This window comes from Homo sapiens, chromosome 15, assembly GCF_000001405.40.
Source record: "Homo sapiens chromosome 15, GRCh38.p14 Primary Assembly".
Classification (NCBI taxonomy): Eukaryota; Metazoa; Chordata; class Mammalia; order Primates; family Hominidae; genus Homo; species Homo sapiens.
This window is the reverse complement of record NC_000015.10, coordinates 50,021,926-50,046,439: the sequence shown is the minus strand read 5'-3', so window position 1 is coordinate 50,046,439 and position 24,514 is coordinate 50,021,926. Positions and strand designations below refer to the sequence as shown.

General features: G+C 39.1%; 1 protein-coding gene across 41 annotated transcripts in view; it reads left to right on the top strand.

Moving 5' to 3' along the window:
- ATP8B4 (ATPase phospholipid transporting 8B4 (putative)) overlaps positions 1–24,514 on the top strand; it is a 323,617-nt gene that overhangs the window by 135,415 nt on the left and 163,688 nt on the right. For 28 of the 41 annotated variants that reach the window (NR_073597.2, NR_073596.2, NR_073598.2 and 25 more), the window contains 2 exons: positions 1,748–1,846; positions 7,611–7,672. The exons of 3 other annotated variants lie outside the window; for them this stretch is intronic. Coding sequence is in view for 31 of the 38 variants with exons in the window: in XM_011522056.4 (XP_011520358.3) it covers positions 1,748–1,846; positions 7,611–7,672 (161 nt within the window). In the remaining 7 variants the exon portion in view is untranslated. 10 more of the 41 variants (XM_047433096.1, XM_047433094.1, XM_047433090.1 and 7 more) reach the window with 5 other exon arrangements.

Here is a 24,514-nt window from a genome sequence, read left to right as displayed (position 1 = left end):
CTTCTCTTTCTCTGTTTTTGTTTTGTTTTGTTTTTGTTTTTGTTTTCACACATTGGCCTTTCTTAGGTAGGCCCTCTACTTGGTGGCCCTGACAGCTTCCTGGTTTCAACTCAAGTCAGAGAGAGAGAGAGTGGGGCAGAGAGGGGGAGGGGGAGAGAGAGAAAGAGAGAAAGAGAGAGAGAGAAAACGAATGAAGGAATTACTTTTTCTGTTGCTCCAGCAAAAGTCTTGAGATTAGTTCTGATTGGAGCTGTATCTTCATTCCTAAACCTGTCACTGTGGCTCAAGAGTTTGATCCAGTAATTGGCTTAACCAAGATCATATGCCAAACCCTGGATCCATGGTGGAATCAGTTTCCTAAAGTTATGTGGACAGAAAGTGAGGGGATATGATGGTTCCCTAAGAAATAGGAGTATATTTGAGAAGAACTGGGTGCTGATCAGGAAAACAAAAACAAACAATGAATAAACATCTTACTATTTGTTGAAGAAAGCTTAGAGTCCAAATTTCTTCCCCCCACCTCTCCCCATGAAGTTGCTTTTGGTTTCTTCAAGTAACACTTCACACCATTCCAGAATTTTGAATTCATTTCTCTAATGGCTTTCTCATTTGTGGCCAAAGGCTCTTGTTCATAGAATTTTATATTTAGAAGGGAACTTTGGGATGGTTCAGTCTAACCTCTCCTTTCTTTATTGCTGAAGAAATTAGACCCAGAGAGATTAGGTGGTAAAGCTTTCACCATGAGTTGATGATGAACTAGGACTAGAATTTAGCTTTTCTGACACCAAGCTCAACATTTTTACTGCTACATCAGAGGCTTTTGAGTTTTTTTTAAAAAATCTTACATGGAAGCTGCTATGTAAAATTGATTTAGAGTTGTTTTGATGGGGCCTGATCTTTAGCCACTGACCGTCTCTACCCCATCCTTTCCTGCCTGATGGCCCCGAAGCAGCAGATTTTCAAATGAATCCCATTTGAAAACCACCTAAGAGATTTATGTCCACTGTCACTATGTCTCTCTTATGTGGGTGGCTTTGGAGGTATGGGCACAAGGGAATAGGGCTTGGAGTCCAAGAGACCTAGTTTCAAATTTTAACAGTATGTGATCTTGGCCCAGTTGCATGACCTGTTAGATTCTTCATTTATAAAATTGGGACATGATACCCAGGTCTGCAACATTTCCTGACTCCTGGTCACCCGTCATAATGTAGTATTCTGTGTTGTGTACTGGGGGTACTATTTATGTGGAATACAAACCTTCTGGGATTATACAAAAACAATCCTAGTAGGAATCTAACTCAATGAACTTTTCCGAGGATTAAATGATGTAATAAATGGAAAGTACCTGGCACAGTGTCTGGTGCAAGGCAGATGTTCAAACAATCTCTCTTTGGGAATTGGTAAAAAGAGGAGTTGGTAAAATTGTTAAAAGTTGAGATGAAAAGCAGAAAAAGATGGGTGAAATTTAACATATTGGAGAAAGTGATCATCTGTGAGAGATTTCAAGAAGCTTCTCCCCTTGCTATAAAAATTTCAGTTTTTGGTTAGGTAGTTTGAAAACAAGTTCAATAATAATTCTACTCTATGTGTCTTATAACCAAATACAAACACTTAAATTATTGAAAGTCATTCTCCATTTGTACAAATAAGTCAATATAACCCCATTAATTTGAAATTAAATGACACAGTTTGGAAGATATATTTTCTAACTTTAAAAGCCCTAAACTATTTGGAATGTTTGTTTCAGCTAATTCCAGAAATTTCCTCCTTGACCTGGTTTACCACCATTGTGCCTTTGGTCCTGGTGATAACTATGACAGCTGTCAAAGATGCCACAGATGACTATGTGAGTATTTGCTCTTGAGCATTCTTGAGGTCTCAATTTCAGTTGTGGCTTCTCAGAAATAGATAATGAAGATACATTTGAAATTTTGAATGAAGTTATTTTGGTTAATATCATATAAAGCTATTTTACTATTTGTTTGATGATTAATACAGGTGCTGTAAAACCAGAGCCTGTTTAAAAGCAAGAAGGCTTCAGTAACTAGATTCACTTTCTCCTTTTATAGATGAGAAAACTAAAGCCCAGAAAGAGCTAGTGATTTGCTAATAATACAACCAATTTGTGGAAGAGCAGAATTGGAAATCAACCTGCATTCACTCAGTGAAGTGTTACTTATTCTTTATCACATGTCTTTGTTTAAGGTTTGAGAGCTGGTAAATATTAGGTATTCTTATACATTCTTGTCATTATATTAGGAGTTACAAAGTCAAATATAGTTGATCCTTGAATGATGTGGGGGTTAGGGACACCAACTCCCTGTACAGTCAAAAATTCATGTATAAGTTTTGACTCTCTCAAAACTTTACTAATAGCCTATTGTTGGCCAGAAGCCTTACCAATAACATAAACAGTTGATTAACACATATTTTGTATGTTATATTTATTATACACTGTATTCTTTTTTTTTTTTTTTTTTGAAACGGAGTCTCGCTCTGTCGCCCAGGCCGGACTGCGGACTGCAGTGGCGCAATCTCGGCTCACTGCAAGCTCCGCTTCCCGGGTTCACGCCATTCTCCTGCCTCAGCCTCCCGAGTAGCTGGGACCACAGGCGCCCGCCACCGCGCCCGGCTAATTTTTTGTATTTTTAGTAGAGACGGGGTTTCACCTTGTTAGCCAGGATGGTCTCGATCTCCTGACCTCATGATCCACCTGCCTCGGCCTCCCAAAGTGCTGGGATTACAGGCGTGAGCCACCGCGCCCGGCCTACACTGTATTCTTATAATAAAGTAAGCTAGAGAAAAGAAAATGTTATTAAGAAAATTATGAAGAAGAGAAATATATATGCTATTCATTAAGTGGAAGTAGATCATCATGAAGGTTTTCATTCTTGTCATCTTCATGTTTAGTAGGCTAAGGAGGAAGAGGAAGAGGAGGGATTGGTTTTACTGTCTCAGGGGTTGCAGAAGCAGAGGAAGGGGAAGCAGGAGAGCAAGCACACTCAATATAGCCTTTAGAGAAAAAAAATCTGTGTATAAGTGGACCTGTGCAGTTCAAATTTATGTTGTTCAAGGGTCAACTGTAGCTTCAAAAGTCAGGAAACTAATGTAAATAAGTCAGATATAAGGCAATAGAGAATTTTAAAGTCTGCATAACCCAAAGGAAGTCATTCTCACTCAAAGACAAAACATAGTCTTGGGAAAACCAAACATTCTAAATCCAGACAAATTATATTTTCATCCTGAGTGATTGCATGTGCCCCCTCAATAACTGTCTATGCCAATGAGTTACAGGTTTATATTCCTAGCCCAAGTCACTCCTCTGAGCTCACACCCATATTTCCTGTTGCCTATTTTTAACCCATCTGTATCTTTAAAATGGTTTTCTTGTAGACAGCATATATAGTAGGCTAATAATTTTTAATAAAATCTGAAAATCTCTGCCTTTCAATTGGAATATTTAACCCATTTATGTTTAATATAATTATCATTATGGTTAGGCCATCTATTATCTAGCTGTTGCTTTCTATATGGCCCATTGGCTCTTCGTTCTATTTTTCTCTCCCTACTTTTAGATTAACGGAGTGTTTTTTGTGATTCCATCTTATCTATATTATTGGCTTAACAGACATACTTTTTCATGGTTGTTTTAGTCTGTAATAGTCCATCTCAAGCAATCTGGCTTCAGAACACTGGCACTTACTCACCACACCCCTCTGTGCTAAGCTATATGGAGAATGCAGAAATGAAAGAGACACCAGAAAATGAAGTTAAAAAAAACTTAACATTCAGTAGAGGGAGGTGGGTCATGTTCATGAACAACAATAATATGAGATAAAAATGGTGTGAAATTCATAATTTAAAAGAACCAAAGTGCTTTGGTTCTTTAAGGGGGGAAGATGAACTTCAGTAGCTAGATTGATAACAGAGGTGGGATGTGTGAAAGAGAATTAGGGAAGATATTATGGAGAAAGTGGGAACTCACCCCTGCTAAGAGTAGTTGAGTATGGTGAAGACATATGGGAAGATTTGTACTTATCAAGTTGGTTCATGTGATATTTCCTCATAGTTATCTTACATATAATTTTTTGATAAATCAACAATTTGATGCAAGTCATTTTAAAAGAGCACACATACACACAAATAATGCATGTGTCTTCATATATCATTTTTTAAAGAATACACAGGATATAACTCTTCATTTCTTAATGAAATTTCTAGCCTATTTCATGGTTCACATTTTGACTATAACCTTTGAGGTTAGTTAGTTTTTTTTTTTTTTTTTAAGACAGAGTCTCACTCTGTCACCCAGGTTGGAGTGCAGTGGCATGATCTCGGCTCACTGCAACTTCTGCCTCGTGGGTTCAAGCAATTCTCTTGCCTCAGCCTCCTGAGTAGCTGGGACTACAGGTGTATGCTGCAACGCCTGGCTAATTTTTTGTGTTTTAGCAGAGATGGGGTTTTACTGTGTTGGAAATTTTTTGTTTGTTTGTTTGTTTTGAGACGGAGTTTTGCTCTGTCACCCAAGCTGGAGTGCAGTGGCGCAATCTTGGCTCACTGCAACCTCCGCCTCCCGGGTTCAAGAAATTCTCCTGCCTCAGCCTCCTGAGTAGCTGGGACTATAGGCACGCACCACTACACCTGGCTAATTTTTTGTATTTTTAGTAGAGATGGGGTTTCACCATGTTAGCCAAGATGGTCTCGATCTGACCTCGTGATCTGCCTGCCTTGGCTTCTCAAAGTCCTGGGATTACAGGCATGAGCCACCATGCCTGGCCCCAGATTTTTAACAAACACATAGGATCCATCCACACTGATGAGTAATATCACATTAAAGTGGCTAACTTGGGATGTTCCTGGAGTTTACTGATTCCTGTGAGGTTGCCGTTGTTCAAGGTACTTTGGGGTCTCTTCTTATAGAATTGTCTTCTGAAGGTCAGTGTACAAGGTAGTCTTATGACTTAATGGCTTCACAGCTTTGGAAACAAATGCTACTTCTCAAGCCTAATCAAAAATCTTATCAACCAGACATGCTTTCTAAGAGTGGCTTTCATATATTTCAAAACATGAGACATCTCATTATGTCTTTTCAAAGGACATAGAGCTCAATTCTCAAAGGATAGAGAACATTCTGAGGAACGGGCTATGAGCTCCAGAGGTAATTCTAAGAGAGGAAATTTCAACAATCATTTGAGCAATGGCATCTTTGGAGTAAATGTGTGGTTTTTCCTTGTTATCTGATTTTTCAGGGAAATGGTACTCATTTAGATGCATGAGTTCCTACATATTGGCCTTAAAGGTCTTCATTATAGTCACACTTCATAGAGGAATAAATGGTAGAGTAGAAAGAATATTGGCTTTGGAGAAAGACACCTTACTATCCTACCACCTTACCCTACCATGTACTAACAGTTTGACATGAGGCAAATGACTTAACTTCTCAAATCTTTCCTTTTCTGTATAACATGGCCAATGACACCAGAGCTGTTGGGAAGACAGAAAGAGATATGTGTAAAGCATCAGGTATAGAACCTAGCTCACAGGGAGTACACAATGAATGCTAGCCCTCTACTTCCTTTCTTTCCTGTGGAAGTTCCCCTCTGAGACTTCATATTTATTTCTTAGAGGAGAAATTGTCAATAAGAGTCAGGCTGGCCTTGAAACTACCATTTCTAATCCTTCCAGACTCCATCTACTCCAATATCAAGTCCTGTTGGTAAAACCTGAGCAGAAGTAGAAGTGATTGCATCTCCCCGAGAGTGAGCTGCTCAGCTTTTGGGGGATGAGCTGACTGGTCTTTTTCTGTGATGTTCAGCTAGTCAATTTAGGGGATTTACATGACTAAACAAAAAGTCTCCTTTTGATTCCATTGCAGTTAATGCTTGAATGTGCTTTCACCTTTTGTGATGTTATGTGCCAGTTCATTAACTGGACACCTTCACCAGTCAGGGTCTTGGCAAAACACAGAGGTTATCCTGAAATTGGGTGGATTGGAGAGTTTAATAATGATGGGATCATTCACAAAGGGTGTGGGCAAGGAAAAGCAGCTATGGCAGCAACATGGTTGGCAATACTACTAGACCTGAAGAGGCAAAGGAATGAAGGAGTGACCAGACCTGGAGACGTAGTTGAGGCCTGTTTGTAGCAGCTGTGGCTATCTGTGGAAGCAGCCATTGCTAACCCAGCTAGAAGAAAGCCAGGGGATAAATTCCCTCATTTCACTCTTCTCTGACTCGAATCTTCTGCCAGTACTATCTGTTGGCCAAATCTTACCAGAAGCCACAGGGCAGGGACCACAGAGCCCAACTTTTCATGGCACAGGGCAGAGTGGAGACGAATGCTGTGTAGATATGGTGGAGGAGAGAATATTCAGCAACCCTTCCAAATTGTGCACTCAGATCAAATAATGTTTCCATTTCTGTTGTTCTACTCGTAGGAAGAAGTTTTCATGTCAATGGGTGACGTGTGACTTAATTTACTTCTTTACCAATATTATAAACTATTTTTATGTTAACAAATGCTAAACAGCTTGTTTTCTTATTTTTACTGGTAATATCTATTAACTTATACCTGTCATTCTGAGTAATTGTATGTACTGGGCATAGCATAATAGAAAGATTGGGATGGATTTGGGAAGGCTGTAGAAAAAGGAAAAGGGCTGGTTGAAGCATTTTGTATTTTGTGATTTTGACACAACATTTTGTATTTAAGAAAAAAAGAAAACATTCTGATGATTAAAGTCTATGAAATCGAAGTTTCTGTCTCCTGAAAAGACTACCCCTATTCATCTGTGCATGTAGGCTAATTTGCTGAAATAACTATATTATAGCCTATTACTAATGGTATTACCATTTTCTCTATATTACTTTTTTTTCTCTTATAGCCTACTACTACTATCTGATCTTGACATTTCACATAGGAAGACTTACCTGAATGACTGCTAATTTATGAGCCTAGTAGAGAGCTCTTAATATTGAGATTCTTTCAAGCTATATAAGATGCTTACATTACTGGATTAAACAATAAGAAATACAACCATTTGGACATAAATCACAAATCTACACCAAATGTGTTTCAGTATTGGATTCTAATTTTTGCTTTAAATGCTCAGTACTTCATAAGATCACTGTTAACAATTAGAGTTTCTGGAGAATAAAAATTGATGTTGTTACAAGTAACTTCTTGACTTCAAAGAAATCCATAAAACAGAAAGAATGATGTTCTAATAAAGCATTCAGTACACATGGGAGAGAAATGGAAGCCCCATTCCTTGTTAAAGACATCAAAATTAATACATGGTTTTCTCTGAGACTATAAGGTACAGTAGAGAGCATATTGTCTTCTTAGAAGCAACTAAACGTGTGGAGATTGGAAGAGTAGTGGCTAGCCTTGTTGTTTCATTGGTGACATCCGGAGTGTAATGTAGTGAGAAGGGTTTTGATTTAGATTTAGAACATGTAGAGCTGGGTTCACAGGAAGCTCAAACAGTGTCATCTTAGACCAGTGACAACACAGTTTAAATGGATGAACTCAAAGTATTGCCAGTGTGCTTATTTGGGCTGACAAAGTACCTTGTAATGTGTTTTCTCACAAACACTTTGATTTTTCAGTTTCGCCACAAGAGTGATAATCAAGTGAATAATCGGCAGTCTGAAGTGCTCATCAACAGCAAGTAAGAAATACATTCTGTGGGTTATTCTGAAAATTTCTAGGACCCTGAAACAGCTCTTGACGATTGGTGGCTTTCTCTTTTAATTAGATACATGATTCTTTTTTCCCTTTAATTTATTAAAAATTGAACTTTAATTCCATTTTATCTTCATGGCTCTCTTTTATGTTCCGCAAATGCTTGTGCTACTCACTCAACTTTGACTTCAGATTCCTTTGGTGTACCTTTTATGGAACACAGACACATCTTTGTCACTTTCCATTTCTAGATCCAGTACTATTTAGAATTGGTGCATATGGGGTTCTGTATGTGGTAGATGTTTCATGAGTGTGTGAATTATTTAATTTGGTAATTTCTGGGGAATATTGCTAGAGAGACTTCTCACACATTACTGTATCAAGTGATAGTGATAAGAATTTTGTATTCACTTGATAGTGGAATATACATGGGCCATCTACCATAGTACAATTTTTTCATTGCTTTTATATTCATCCATCAATGAAGAAAAAGTATTTGTGGGAACAGTGCTAGAATCAGAAATGCTTTAAAAACACATGCATTTATCCACAAACGACTGCAAAAACACCTCCAGAAAACTTAGCAGGGGTAATTTTAAAACTTCTTTCCATCATTTCTTACTCTCTTTTTTGCTGTCCCCCCCTTATTTTTTTGCTAATGATAATGTGGCAAAGTAAATTTTAATGATGTACTTAAATCTGGCAGTCAGTCACATCAGGCAATGATTTTGAATCATTTGGATACCGTGAAGAATGTAATTTTTAAAGAGAAAATCATAAAATGAATTAGCCATATGTGAGGGAAAATGCTAAAGATATCAAGAGGGGCTAGGTAGCTTAGGCAATACATGGTGATATTGAAGTAATCTCTATAACTAAAATATTGATTGATTTCTAATAACATAATGAATACCTACAGTTTTTCTTTTGGCTTGTTTTAGAAAATGGTGTAAAAAGGACAGTGAAGAAAAATGATCTTAAGTTAAAACCATAGTTGTAGAGACAGAGCCTTGGAAAGTGTGATCCTGGTGTGACATGGATAAGCCATAAAGGTGCCTGGACCCCCATGGTTCAATTCCAGGTTAGCTGGTTTTGAATCATTGCCGCCACAATATGGTGTTAAAAGTATGCATTTTGCACTGAGAGACTTAAGTATGAGTTTTGTCCTACTCTGAATAATTCTGTGGTCTTGGGGAAGTTTTTAATATCTGTAAGCACTGGATTTCTCCTCTGTAAGGTGGGGTTATAATGTGTTCTCTCCCATGGATGGAGTTGCTGTGAAAGTTAAAGGAGTTCTGTAAAATGCTTGGCCCAGTGTCTTGTATGTTGTTAGCATTCTCCATGTAGTCTTGTTACTTCTTTAAAAGGCTCTTTATAAGACAGAGTATGTGTGGTTGTGGGTAGCACTGTTGCATATCTTGACTTTCTCAAGTCTGAAAGTTCTGACTGTGTATTAGATCTGATGTTAATACGTTCCTTTCTCAAGGAACATCTAATCATCAGTCTCATTACTTTGAAGTCTCATCTCATATAAAGTGTGTTAAAAGTAAATACACTTACGTAGTGAATTTGAACTAATAACTCTAGCATATCTTTTAATGTCTCTCAAATTACCAGTCAAAATACCTGGATTGTGATAGACGTTGGGGCCTCTATTTGGAGGCTATGGGATTAATCCAATAACTTCGATATTCAGAAATTTGATGACTATATGTCTCCCACACATGGTGACTGTCATTATCATTATCATTTGAAATAGTGTTAGTGTTACTTTCTTGTGGTTTTATTTAGCTTTTTGTTAATTCCTTGTGAGATAGTATCTCTTTGTAACTCAATATGGCATGATGTATTGAAAAGCATTGTTGCCGATCCTGTAAAGTTGAAGGGAGAATCATCTATCATTGAGAATGGAATGGAGCATTTTTTAGGATTCAGTGAAAAATCAGGCAAAAATGTCCATTTGAGAGATTATCCACAACCTTGAGCTTCTCTAGGGTAGGGGTCCTTTCTCTTGATTGTGTTTGTGTCCCTTGAGCCTACCACAGTATCTGTTGAATTTTCAAACTATGCTGTAACAAGTCCTTGCAGAGAGGGCAACCTACAAGACGGGCTTGTCCTGTTAAATTTTGCTAAATCCCATCATTAGCCAATTCCAGTGCATATGGTGGTTTCTGTAGAATGTGCTCAGGCTATGGAGACTGGCTTTTCACTTTTTGGATTTTGAGATATTGGGGAAATCGGTTATGGAGGATGCTGTTGGGGTTCTGCCCAGATCTCCCTGTCTTCCTGTGCTCATCCCCAATCACCCATGTGCATTACTTCTATGAGCTTGCACCTGCCGCTTTCTTCATGGCTTGGCCCTTGGGATATTGGACCCAGTGACCAACTGGCGCACGAGCGTCAAACAGCAGCTCTCCTGCCTCAGGTTGGACAAACACTGAGGTGTAACTTGCACTCATGAGTGCCCCTTGAGCTCGGGCTGAGGACAGGACTTGCCTGCAATCACGCTCTTGCTTGGCTTCTTCCCCTTTCCTCTGTTGCTTCTCATCTCCCTTCCCAGTTTCTCCTAGAAATACTTTCTTAATGAACCACTTGCATGTGAATACTCATCTCAGGATCTGCTTCCAGGGAAGCAGGTATAAGATAGTAGTTAATGCATGATTAAGCCCATGGCAATATTAAGAGAAAATATTTAAAAAGTGTTTTGGCCCTATCCTTGGCATCTGTGGGCCACAATTCAGGAATAAAGTAAAATGGCTGGAGGGGATCTGGGCTCTGGGAGTCCAGGAGTTGCTGGGGTGGGTGTCACATTGGGTTGGGCACTGCCAGGTGCTTGTGGCTTCCCTTGTGTATTTCTGGCAGAAGGTCTTGGACTTAGGGTCTTCAAACTAGGGCAGGAGCCATTGGCATGTCCTGGAAGGAGGCAGGGTATAGTCAGCTTTGGAGAGGAGGACCCTAAAGGGAAGAAAGTGGGATGAAAAGTAGCAGTCAGGAAACCTGGGTCCTTGTAAGTGATTACTGTGTGACTTTGGGCAATTGATTTTCCTTCTGGGCTTCAGGTACCCCTTCTCCTGTGCTCAGGAGCCAGGATGGTGGGTGGCTACATTCAGATTCAACACGTTTATTGAGCAACTACTATGTGTGGGCCCCAGTGCTCCCACACTTAAGTCTCATAAAACCCTAAGGTGTGGGTAATAGTGCCCCAATTTTAAAGATGAGGAGATTAAGGCCCAGAAGGGATGACTAGCCCAGGGTTTCATGGCAGGTAAGAGTCTACGTTAGAGTTCTATCCATTCATGATGCAATGTGTCAAGTGTGGACTTTGTGGTCTCATCAAGTCTTCTCTATTTATTTTATGTTTGAAGGGCTTTGTATACAATCATATACATATAAACATCATTATGTAATATATATGTAGTTTACCTATATGTTAATTTGCATATGTAAGTACACACATACATCCACACTTTCAGTGCCTGGAGCATTACTCGTAACATTCTTAGCACCAAGTGAATTATAATGTAAACCTCAGCCACAATATAATTATGGAAGTGAAACCCTTCCCTTCTAACCTTCCTCTACAATTTCACTTTTTTTTTTGTTTTCTTAATCTATTCCTTTCAAATCAGGACAAATCTTTTGCCTTTACAAACTGTTGTAATATGTGAAAGTGCTTAAGAAATGGGTGTTGTATTAGCTTTTGGTAAAATCTTTTGATGACTTTTGTTTTAAAAGTAAGTAGCGGTGGCATGATTCCTTCTTGTAGACGTTAATGTGACTGCTGCACAAGAAGTGCACATTCTCAGCCCTAGGCTACAAGATACTGTTGGCAAGTCTGCGAGTACCAATACATACTTAAATGTTTCATAAGAGGATGTTTCCTCAAGTCATGCTAACTATTCCTGGCCACCGTGGGAGCAACTGGGCAGGTGAAGGGCAAATGAGAGGGATCCTGAAAGTTCCTGCAGAGGTCACCTAATCCCACGCTCCTCAAACTGGACATCACATTAGAATCACTTGGAGGAGTTAAAAAATACCCACATCCCATTTACAGCCCAGAGCAATTAAATGAGGGTCTTGGGGATGAGGCCCTGGTGTTTCTTAAAGTTTCCAAGATGAATCTAATGTACAGACAGGTTTGAGAACCTCTAATTGAAGCCATGTCTTTACCCATATCTGTCTGTTTATACTTATATTTTATGTCTAATTTTAAGAGACACTCAATGGCCGGGTGTGGTGGCTCATGCCCATAAACCCAGCACTTTGGGAGGCTGAGAAGGTGGATAACCTGAGATCAGGAGTTTGAGACCAGCTTGACCAACATGGTGAAACCCCATCTCTACCAAAAATACAAAAATTAGCTGGGCATGGTGGCAGGCACCGGTAATCCCAGCTACCCAGGAGGATGAGGCAGGAGAATTATTTGAACCCAGAGGGGGAGGTTGCAGTGGGCCGAGATCATGCCATTGCACTCCAGCCTGGGTGACAAGAGTGAAACTCTTTCTAAAAAAAAAAAAAAAAAAAACAAGGAAAGGAATTCCATTTAATCCAAAATGGCAAGCATCTATACACCGTTGGTGGGAATGTAAATTACTTAGTCACTGTGGAAAGCAGTGTGGATATTTGTCAAAGAACCTAAAACAGAACTACTATTTGACCCAGCAATTTCATTACTGGATATACACCCAGTGGAAAATAAGTCATTCTACCATAAATGCACACACACACATATGCTCATTGCAGCACTGTTCACAATAGCAAAGACATGGAATCTTCCTAAATGCCCATCAATAATGGACTGGATGAAGAAAATGTGGTATATATACACCATGGAATACTACATAGCCATAAAAAGGAACAAAATCATGTTCTCTGCAGCAACACGGATGCTGCTGGAGGGTATTATCCTAAGTAAATTAACACAGGAACAGAAAACCAAATACCACAAGTTCTCACTTATAAGTGGGGGCTAGTTATTGAGTACACAAGGATATAAAGATAGGAACAATAATCATTGTGAACTACTAGAGAAAGGAGAAGGGGAGCAGGACAGGGATTGGAAAACTACCTATTGAGTACTATGCCCACTACCTGAGTGGTAGGATCATTTGTATCCCAAACCTCAGCATCACACAATATTCCCATGTAACGATCCTGCACATGTATCCCCTGAATCTAAAATAAAAGTTAAATTATTAAAAAATAAGATGGTAAGCATAGTTTTTCACATAATAAATATTTTAAAAAGCTGAGGATTCTCTGTTCATTCTTCCAGGCTGCTAGCATCCCTTCTTTGTGTCATTATTAACAAATAGAGTCCATATCACTTCTTAACATTTTTACTTCTCCAGCATCTTCTAAACTTAAGATTTTGCATTAGAACAGTCTGAGATCAGATGCTTCAGTGCAATTACCCTTCATTTAGTCGGGATATTTCCCTGACACTTTTAGATTTTAAATTGTACTTGACTGTAAGCTTTTTGTGCAACATTCTACTTTATACTTTCCTGGGCATTGGTAAACTTTGCTTAAATCTCTGAAGCTCTCATAGGCCTGTTTCCATCAATCTTATTCATTTTTGGAAACTGTATTATGGGGAAAGGAAGGAGCTTTCTTTTACTACTGTAGAGTATTGTCTCTGCACTTTCCAAGTCTGGTGTTTCTAGATGCTGCATAATTACCTGAACAAATATACTCTTTCAATAGGAACAACTTGTTCAATCAACTTTTCTAGTTTGAGTGATGACTCCCTTTGGATATTAGGATTTAAAATTCTGTTTTATTTTTTCTTTGTTGTATATTTTTTTCCTTTATAAAAGCAGCATATATTCATTAAGAGAAATTTGGAAAACAAGAAAAAGTGGATGGAAGAAAATAACATTCATTCTTCCACTATCCAAAGTAATTATTGTTACTATTTTCTTATATTTCCTCTCTGTCTTTTTTTCTATGCCAAGATTTCTTATAATTATGTATTTACATTTTTATCCTTCTGCTTCTACTTTATATCATATCATTATGATTTCTTATTTCTTTATACATACGATTTTTAGGGGCTACATAACATTCCATCCAGTGCATATCTCACAATTCACGTACCATTTCTCTGTTGTTTGGATGTTTGTTTTCAATTTTAAAATATAATTTCTTGATCTTTCTTGATCTAGAACCAGAAATACCATTTGACCCAGCAATTCCATTACTGGATATTTGCCCAAAGTATTATAAGTCATTCTACCCTAAAAGCACATGCACATGTATGTTTATTGCAGCACTATTTACAGTAGCAAAAACTTGGAACCAACCCAAATGCCCATCAATGATAGACTGGATAAAGAAAATATGGCACATATACACCATGGAATACTATGCAGCCATAAAAAAGAATGAGTTCATATCCTTTGCAGGGACATGGATGAAGCTGGAAGCCATTATTCTCAGCAAACTAACACAGGAACAGAAAACCAAATACCACATGTTCTCATTCATAAGTGGGAGTTGAACAATGAGAACACATGGACATAGGGAGGGGAACATCACACACCAGGGCCTGTCAGGGGGTGGGGGGCAAGGGGAGGGAGAGCATTAGGACAAATACCTAATGCATGCAGGGTTTAAAACCTAGATGACGGGTTGATAGGTGCAGCAAACCACAATGGCACATGTATACCTATGTAACAAACCTGCACACGTATCCCAGAACTTAAAGTAAAATTTTAAAGAATAAATATTTGTTGAATCAAAAAGTATAATACATGTAAATCCCCAAACAGTAACAATTTAAAACAATTTGAATACGTTTTATATTACAATAATTAACTATATAGCATTTAAAAGTGAAGTATATAAAGTAGTAGTTCTGGTCTGTAGCATCTTGATAGCAAATTTGTGTATTGATTCAGAGGGGTGGCTAGCAGATCCTTCAGGCAGCTAGGAAGGACCTGTTCCCACCTTCCTTGTACTTCCAGGTTAGAGGCATGTAGACCTATGGTCAAGAGATTTATAATTTGCTGCTATATTCTTGGAAACAACTTACCAAGGAAGGTGGTGGTAGGGGGGTGGATGTATATGATATGGCCTTCTGCTGGATTTTATCCAGTATGTCAGTCTTGGGTAAGTGTGAATTACTACTCTTATTAAATATTCTCTTACTTTTTCTATTTGAGCACCTGCAACAAAAAAAAACCCAAAGATCATTGAACTCAGTGTATTTGCAGCTTACACACATTTAGTGTGTCTGTGTGTGTCTTGTAAGTGGGAGAGTGGGATCTTGTTGATCACATGGGAGAATTGATGTACCCTCCATTGAGTTATTCCCTTTCAATTGTGGGCTTGAAATTAGAGTGGTTAAACACAAGGCACAGGACCAACTACCGGAGTCTTTTATCTCCAGCCCACCCAGATTACGTATACATTATGATGGTACCACTGGGGCTAGGGGAAAGGTATTTAGGGTCTATAGGAACAGACTTGCAGATTTGAAAGAAGATTTTGAGGAGAAAAACTTGATTCTTTTTTTAAAAAACAATATTAATAAAACACACTTTTATGGGTGTAACAGCCATAGGCATAACAATGAGTTCAAAAGCAAGCTACAAAGAGTGGTCTCAGTGCTTTTTGAACTCAGTGAAGTGGTTTAAAAATGAATATTCAACTTACAGTAATAGTGCTTCAAAACAATTTTGCCTTCAATAAGTTAATTTCAGCTTCTTAAGTCTTGGATTGATCATTTCTTGGGCAGTTTCTGGTTCTCAGCTTTGCAGATGGAAGGGTTCCTTTGCCAATGGGCTGGTTTCTGTATGTGAGCCGTGACATTATTGTAGTTCTTTTAAATGATTTTCCACTGTAATCAGTTATTATATTGCATGAATACAATTTCTTAAGGGTTGAATTTCTAAATGGTGACTATTTCTCCAAATGAGGTACATCTTGAAATAAGAGGAAATTATAACACTTTCAAAACTCTGCACATGGGTTTCCAGTGGCATCTCTTAATTTCTTTTTAAAGTTTATGTGACCCAGATGTTAGCTGTTCTCTTTTTCTCTTCTTAAAGCTCCTTCAAAGAGCCCTCTCACATAAAAGGCTTAGAGGGCAAGGTAGAGTTGACTGAAGAATTTGTGGGGGAGAAAATTGAGGGGGTTTATTTCATACACTCCTTAGCCAGCAACATGAAATCCCATTTCAACATTTTTCTTCACCAAAGTTCTCCTCAGTTTTTGGCCTTTTTAATGTCTCCTTCCCCCATTCTGTGCTCAGTGTAGCTGGCTCCAGTCTCCCCTGTCTTGGTGTCTGGGGCCCCTCAAATTGATCTCCCCCCTATTACACAAAGTAGTTTGATTCTCCCTCAGCTCTGAACTCAAATCTATTGCAGCGAATCACCAGAATAGCAGGGTCTTTTGTAACCAGGATGCATTTATCTTAGATGATAATGGAAGTTAAAGATACACCAAGTTCTATGTGCCATTTAGAACTCTGTTCTTTCTCTTTTTTAAAAGAATAGGTTTATGCATCTTTTCTCAGTTGTTATTGGGAGGAGATCCAGAATTTCTTTTGGAAAGAAAAAAAAAACTCAAACCTCAACCACAAAGGCCTTGGAGATGTTAGAACATTAATTTTAAAAATATAAAGTTTTCTTAGGATCTTAAAATCTGAAAGCTAAAAGAGATCAAAATATTATAGTGAAGAAATTTGGTTTCATTCAGAGCTCAAAGGTTGTCTACACCAAACCAAACCAACATTTTAACAGCATTTGTTGATTATTTCTCATCAATTTTTCCTCCCAGCAAATTTTTACTACAGGGGCATTTTGCTTTACACTTCCTGATATATTTCAATGGGTTAATTTCTTCCATGCATTTTAAATTGGTGTATGATGTTTTTGCTGTGTGTAGTAAATTAAGAAAACTTGGAAGAGTACAAACAAAACATAGAAATCACCCTTGATCTTGCTACCCAGATCAGAGTTAACTACAATTAATTTGTGGATGCATTTTATGATTCCCTCTCCTTCATCTTTGCTTCCTCCTCTTCTTTTTCCTCTCTGCTTCTCCACACAATATTCCTTTTAACAATAATCGAGATTATTTTATACCACGTCCTACTGTCATGGTTGAATAGTACAAAGATATTTGCAACAGAATCTGTAAATATGATCTTAGTTGGAAAAAGGCTCTTAGCAGACATAATTAAATTAAAGATCTTGAGGTAAGATCATCCTGGATTAGGGTGGACTCTAAACCCAACCACCAGTGTCTTTATGAGAGAAGAGAAGGAAAGAAGAGACACAGAAAAGAAGCTTATGTGCAGGTGGAGGCAGAGATTGGAATTACATAGCCCCAAGCCAAGGAATGCTTGAAGCTATCAGAAGCTAGGAGAGAAGCCTGGAACAGATTCTCCCTTAGAGTCTCCAGAGGGTTTACAGCCTTGCTAACACTTTGATTTTGGAATTCTTGCCTGAAGAGCTGCAAGAGAATAAAATTCTGCTGTATTTTTCTGTTTTTTTTTTTTTTTTTTTAAGATGGAGTCTTGCTCTGTTGCCAGGCTGGAGTGCAGTGGCGTGTGGCGTGATCTCAGCTCACTGCAACCTCCACCTCCTGGATTCAAGCGATTCTCTTGCCTCGGCCTCCCGAGTAGCTGGGACTACAGGCGTGTGCCACCAAGCCTGGCTAATTTTTTGTATTTTAGTAGATACGGGGTTTTACCATGTTGGCCAGGATAGTCTCAATCTCCTGACCTCATGATCCGCCTGCCTCGGCCTCCCAAAGTGCTGGGATTACAGGTGTGAGCCACTGCGCCCGGCCAAAGTTGTTTTAAAGCAGTTGGTTCGTGATGATTTGCTTTTAAGCCACATAGTTTGTGGTGACATGTTATAGCAGCCCTAGAAGACTAATATTCACTTCTTTTTAGCTTTTACTTGAGAGGTTCTATGTTCGTTCATTTGTTCGTTCTTTCACTCAGTAGACACTTATTCTCTGCCTACTATGTGTCAGGCAGAATGCTATTAGGTTGGTGCAAAAGTAAAAGTTATTCCACAATTACTTTTGCACCAACCTACTATATGCTGAGGATACAGAATTTAATAAGATATAGTGTTTTCCCCAAATATAATGCAATCATATGTATATGGTACAGGATAGGTTTATCTGTAGAATTGCCAGGATACTCTCACATTTTGTTGTTTTTACTTCTGGGTAAGGTGTGTGAGCAAAATGACTCATCTCATTAGGAATGTGCAGCTCTCAAAAGTTCTTGTCAGTATACAGGCTCTGCAGATGAAACAATGCCTGGTGGTAGAAAACCTTGGTAGGTTTTGGGAGCCTAGTTGGGAATGGTGCTTTGAAGCTGTAACTCAGGAACACTGGAACATTTTTAAACTTGACCAGTTTTCTAAAATACTGAGATCTATTTCCTTATTCCATGTTAGGCATGTTCTAATTCTCTCTGCTTACTGATCTTTGACAAGAATCAGATGTGCAATACTGGAAGGAAAAGGAAAAGATAGAGGCAGACAGCATAGAAAGTAAGAGTAATGATCTCTAAATTAGATCTAAGGACTCAAAAGGACCTGGGAAATTTGGGGGCTGTAAAAAGTAACATCATCAGCAACATATGGAAAGAAGACTCTGGCAGTGACATTGTGGAAGAGCTGTGAGATGAGGAAGCCTGGGAAATATAATTGAGAGTGATACTGAATATTGTAGAAGGAAGGTAATGGACTCTAATGATGGAGAAAGAATAGATTTTGAAGATGTGAAGAAAGTTGATGGTATTTTCTAATGGAGAATACAGTAAGTCCTCACTTAACATTGCTGATAGGTTCTTGGAAACTGTGACTTCAAGTGAAACAGTATACAGTAGGTCCTCAAATAACGTTGTTGAGTTCAAAGTCATTTCATTATAGCATGGGTGAGGAAAAACTTGATTTTGTTACATTTCATTACACTTAAAATCATAGTTTTCGAGGACCTATCCACGACGTTAAGTGAGAACTTACTGTCTATGGTGCAATAAAGTACATTTTCCATAAGCTTAGCATTCCTTCACAATAAACACTTACTGGATTTTAAATTTGCTTAATGTCCAGTGTTCAGTCCAGTATGATGGAGTTGCAGGGGGAAAGAAAAAAGTTAAGTATTGAGAAATGGAATTGAGTTTGGAGAGGGCTTCATGGAGGAGAGCACACAAACAGCAGTGGAGATTTAAGGGGCTCTGTTGGCAACGGGACGAATTTCATTCAGATAATCTAGCTGGCTCAGTGTCAATCAGCATGTACTAGGGCTTCCTCAGGGATATGATAGAGGTTTTATAGGAACATTGAGAGTAGCAGCAGGGATTCATGTTTTCCATCCATCCATCCATCCATCCATCCATCCACCCATCCATCCCATATTTAAATAACACTTCTGAGTACCAGCCACTGTGCTAGATGCTACGGACACATGGACTATTAGGACCCATGTCACTGCCCTCAAGGAGTCTGGGGTCTAGGGGAAGAGATGGACAAATAAACAGACTCTTATTTGACAGCAGTAGGTGCAAGGAAGTATGAGGTGCTCCAGGTGCACTGGGTGCTTTGGGTGCACACATATGGGGTAGGGATGGCTAATACTAGTTTTGGAGGGCTAGTGGCAGGGATTTCATTGTCTCAGAATAACCCTTGATAGAATTGGCCCCCCAGCAAAGGTCAGCCATTGAACAGCTAATGGAATGGTGGGGTGAGAGGGTGGGGAGAGCATTGGAGAACCCAGGAACAGTTCAGGCCATAGAGGATTACTAGGTCTTTACAGGCTTATTGAAGAGGGAGGCTGAGAATATGCTGGATGAAAAATGAGCCCAAATCCACCATCTCCTGTCCCTCCAGTTATGTGCTCTGGTGCAATGTGGTCCGTCACAAGTACCATCTTCATATGCAGGCTACTCATTGTAAGACTCTTGGGCAACACAGCAGTGAGAACCTCTGTTGTCTTTCTACCCCACAAGGCAGGAAGGCATTGGGAAAAGTCCACTAGCCTGGTGTCAGGAGGCTGAGGTTCAGTCCTGCTCTGTCATGAATTGGCTACATGACTGAGGACCAAGGACTTGAGTTTTCTCATCTATGAAACAAAGATATTGGATACCAGTCATTTTCAAACATTTCTTTTTCCAATAAGCAGAACCCTTTTCAAATGAAATCTTATGTATAGTGCAGTTGCTCAGAGCAGGTGCTCTCGGCTGCCCTCTCACCCTTTATGGTAGATCTTGAGGAGCCTCCACAAGCATCACAGCACTGGTCAGTACTTCTGCACATGAGGTCTGAGGACCACCTGCATCTGAATCACCCAGGTGCAGATTCCTGGGCTCTTTCCCGGACCTCTTGAATCAAACTTTTTGGGTCTGGGACTGAGGACTCTATTTTTAATGAGCACTTCATGGGATTCTCATGTACATTGAAGTTTGAGTACCACTAGGCCAGATATTTCAAGGTTCCTCTCAGGCTTTAAGTACAGTGACTCTGTGATCCTCTTCAGCTTTGGTGTGATGGTGAGGAGCCAAAGAAGGGGAGTCAGTGACTCCACCTGATAAAAAGATTTAACAGCAAATGGAATATTGAAAGTATGAGGATGGATTTGATAGTAATAGTAGTAGAGATGACAGTGGAACAAGGAGGGTAGGATCTGAAAGTTACAAAATGGATTAGGTAAGGAAGAAGAACTTTAATCATCGGGTCTTCCAACAGTGGAGATAAATTGTATTCCAGATGGAAGAAATTGTAGCAAAAGGTGTCAGGAGACAATTCAAAGCATGAGGCTACTAGGGTAATGTCCTGATCATATTCCCACCATCTTTCTTTGTCTTGATAATAGCACTCTATTATATCATGACACATAGTATCATAATGGTCTCCTTACCTTTCATTTACTTGTCAATCTTTATTGAGTGAATCCTGTGTGCCAGGCATTGAGCTATATTCTGCAAATGCAGGTCAACCCAAACAGACATGTTCTCTGCAATCACAGAGCTTAGTGTCTGGTCAGGGAAGTAGATAATAAAATAGCCATGCTAAGTAGTGTATAATTACAAACCAAGGCAAATGCTGCTAAGGAAAAGAGTGTGGTTCTAAAGACAGGTATTTTTTTGTGGGGGTTGGTAGAGGTGAGGTGAAGCAGTTTAGGAATGGATTCTTTAAGGGAGTAGTACATTTGAGCTGAAAACATAATGATGACTAGGAGTTAACTAGGCAAAGGTGGTAATAGGAGTTGGAGCAATGGGATGAGAAGAATTCCAGAGGGAAAATCATGTGCAAAGGTCCTGTGGAGGGGAAGGAGGATGGTGATTATGAGGGACTGATTGGCAGAAGTCCAGAGAATAAGGCGGAGAGAAGAGCAGGGGCAGACAGGGCTGGAGAAGCCATCAGAGGCCAGACCCTGCAGGGCCTTCAAGGCTACATTAAGAGTTTGGGTCTTTTTCCTCATAACAGAGAGATTGTGTGGAAGGGTTTGTCTTTGGAAAATCTCATACCTGCTGCATGGGAAGAAGCTAATGCAGAGGGGTCAAGATAGATATGGGGAGAGGCTAATTGCCTATTGCTATACTTGTCTGTCTGTTCCTATTACTGCTGTGACTTACTTGAGGCTGAGACAATCTCCATATTCCCATGCAGTTGATACGCAATAATTACATGATAGTGGGCAAAATGCACTAAAGTGAATTAAATAAAGCCTCTTGGGGCAAAAGCAGAATATATTTTAGACTCCTCTTTTCTTCCCTGTAACTAATATGGGGCAAGGAGAAGTATTCATATATTGTGTGTTTGTGCACATCGCTGCTGGCTATCATTGCACTTGAGAGTGTGAGGTCCTCGGATACCAAGCCCATCTTTACCCTAGTGTTCTGTGTTATTGGGAGTCTCTTGGGCACTGCTGGAAATTAACATGTATGGGACAGTGTCTGACACTTAAGGAAAGGGAAGGATTTAGGTCTGCCTGGACTTCATTTCTTAATTAGCAGAGCTCAAGATATGATTTGAAGCAATGCTTACTGTTTCATTCGCAGCTGCCCCCAGGTTGCAGCAAGTTGGACAAGCAAAAATGTGACAGGCAGCCCTAGACACCCAGTGGAGAAGCAGAAATAGACTTGCTGGGGTTTGCAGTGGACGTTTCCCTTGCAGCGGCACTTTCTGAATTGCCTGGACGACGAAGAGTATTCACCCAGCTGTCCTCATCTGTTACCTTGCCCCTTTCCAGGCATTTATGTTCTTACATGCTTTCCCCTTTCACACTGCTAAATTTAAGGCTTCATTTTCAAATCAAATGCTCATCTGGCTGGCTGCCTGAGAAATCACATGTGGAGCACTGAGAGACCCAGGCAGGGGATGATGCCCTTGGTTTTGGAGAGTAGGTCTGGAAACCATATGAACTGTAAATAGTTTCAAAATGTGAAAAAAAATTTAAAGCTCTGCCAAAAGGGAAGAGCTGAGGTTTTTTTCTTTCTAGGCTCAGTTATTAAGTATCTGTTGGAAATAACCTACCTCTATCATAGAATCTGTTTACTCTCTCCGTCTGTCCAGGGTGGACAAATCCAGACTTAACCACTGTGAGAACTCAGCTCTGCAAATGCTTGCTTTATTAGAAATAAGTTTTGGGGTCACAGAACCATAGCTAAACTGCTAGATGCATAACTTTTATGGGAATTTACTTTTATTCATTTAATCCTTCCTTTGAAACTTGAGTGATAATATGTTAATATTTTTAAAAATAATAGAACCTAATTTTCCAGTAAGAATAAGACAAATAAAAAATGAGAAAAGGTACATGGCTTCCTTAATTTGCACCCCATCAGATAACTAATGTACTAGAGTATCACTTCTCATTTTGAGAAATATTTTTCAGCATATGTCCTATTTTCTTTATTAGTCTTTCTCTTTTTCACCTGATCCTTCATTATAGTTTTAAAAGGCTTTTTTTTTTTCTTTTTTTTCTTTTTTTTTTTTTTTTTGCCTTTGGTCTCAATTTTTTGTGGGTGCAGAGGTGAAGAGATGCTGTCATGCTTTCCACACTAGGTTACCAGGGACACCTTTCATTCTGTTTTGGTGGCTGTCTTTAGATTCTTTTTTCTTGCTTTCTCTGTATTCTAAATTTTGTCTTTGCTCTGTATCTCATTTCTTACTCTCTTTCTAAGGATGAAGAAGAAAGAACACTGGAATTGAGATAAAAAGAATGATAGGAAAACAATAAGCAACAGAGGCCCTATTAAATAGGGAGCATTTTAGAGTAATAGATGCCTAAAAATGTAGGGATTAGAGTTTATGCAAACAAATATGCAAAGGACTGTGGTATAAATGCTTATAATTGGCCTGCAGATTTGCTTGTGTTAAATTTCAAATCTGGTACTGATAATGTCAAACTAATAAAAGTTTTACCCAAATGTACCTAATTATGGTCACGATCCCTGGCACGAAATCTCCTGATTAACCAAATTGAAAATATCGTTCCCAGTAGTGGCTCTTGTGATTAAGAAAGGAATTCAGAAGAGAGAAGATTATTTATACATATATTTAGACATATTTTTACAGACTATAAATAAGACCATAAGGTCTTGAAACCCCTTGATCACTAGAAAGCAGAGAGGGCTTGGAGGAGTATGAGACCAGCCTGTCATTGCTATTAAGCAGAAAAACTTCATCCTGGAGCTGGGTGGAGCACATAACTTAGAGTGTTTCCCAGAAAGTAATTAAAAGGGCAACTTTCTGGCAGAAAGTTTTCATCTTCCTAATAGAGAAAAATGGAGTCTACTCCAGGCAAAAAATTATCATATAGATATATCCAGGGAGTAGAAAAACAACCTAGAGACTTTGGGGTTTGAGTAGTGCCAATGAATAATGAAGGGATTACATTAGAAGGTCTTTCTTATCCATCTCATTCCTAAAATATGAGAAATGCAACTGCCATTTGATATACCATCCCTGAGCCCAAGGCTTTCCCCTGTTCCAGGGACTTACTGTGGTCAGCGGGGCATGGGGAAACAGATTTAGGACCTTCACCAGAGGCCAGGTTTACCCAGACCTGACGGGTCTAGAAATAGAGGATTTTTTGGGGCACTCTAGTTCATGTCATAGGTTGGGCCAGGGGAGCGTGTCGCAGTTCCTGCTTACACTCTAATCCTATTGGCTTGAATTGGAAAAAGTGATAAGCCTCAATAATACAGCCAATTTTGTTGGGGTCATTTGATTTATTGTCCCAGCATTGTTAAGAGCAGACATAGCATGGGTGCTCTGAACCAGAGGAATCTTTAGGTCTATCTTATTTCTGCAGATAGTGAGTATCTCCCATGTGCCAAAGATGATTAACGTAGCATTTCTGTTTTCATAACTCACAGTTTGTAGGGCAGGGAGACAACCAAGTTTTTAGTTTCAATATAATGTATAGGAGGATGGATGTGTTGATGGACCTCAACGGAAGCACTAAAGAAGGGGTACTTAGGCCAGTCTGGGGAACAAAGGAGGCTTCTGAGAAGTGAGTTTTTATCTAAAATTTATCAACTAAAAATGTGAAAAACTCAGAAAAGTAAAAATGTCTACTTTTTAGGGAAATGTATTATCCCTTGTTGTTGCATTTTTTTGTGGCAAATATACATATATGCAAAAGAGCCCATGCAATATATGCAATTTTGCTTTCCACTTTTTTCCTTTGGAAAAAAGTTTTTATTTATTTCTTTTATTGTCTAAACTGATATCCTTTGCCTTACAATGATTCATCCTGTCCTTACCCTCTTTCCAGACTTTGTCATTAGCTTTGTTACACTTTCTTAGGGTCTTCCCAGGAGACATAGCCTTGTGAAACTATTACTCGT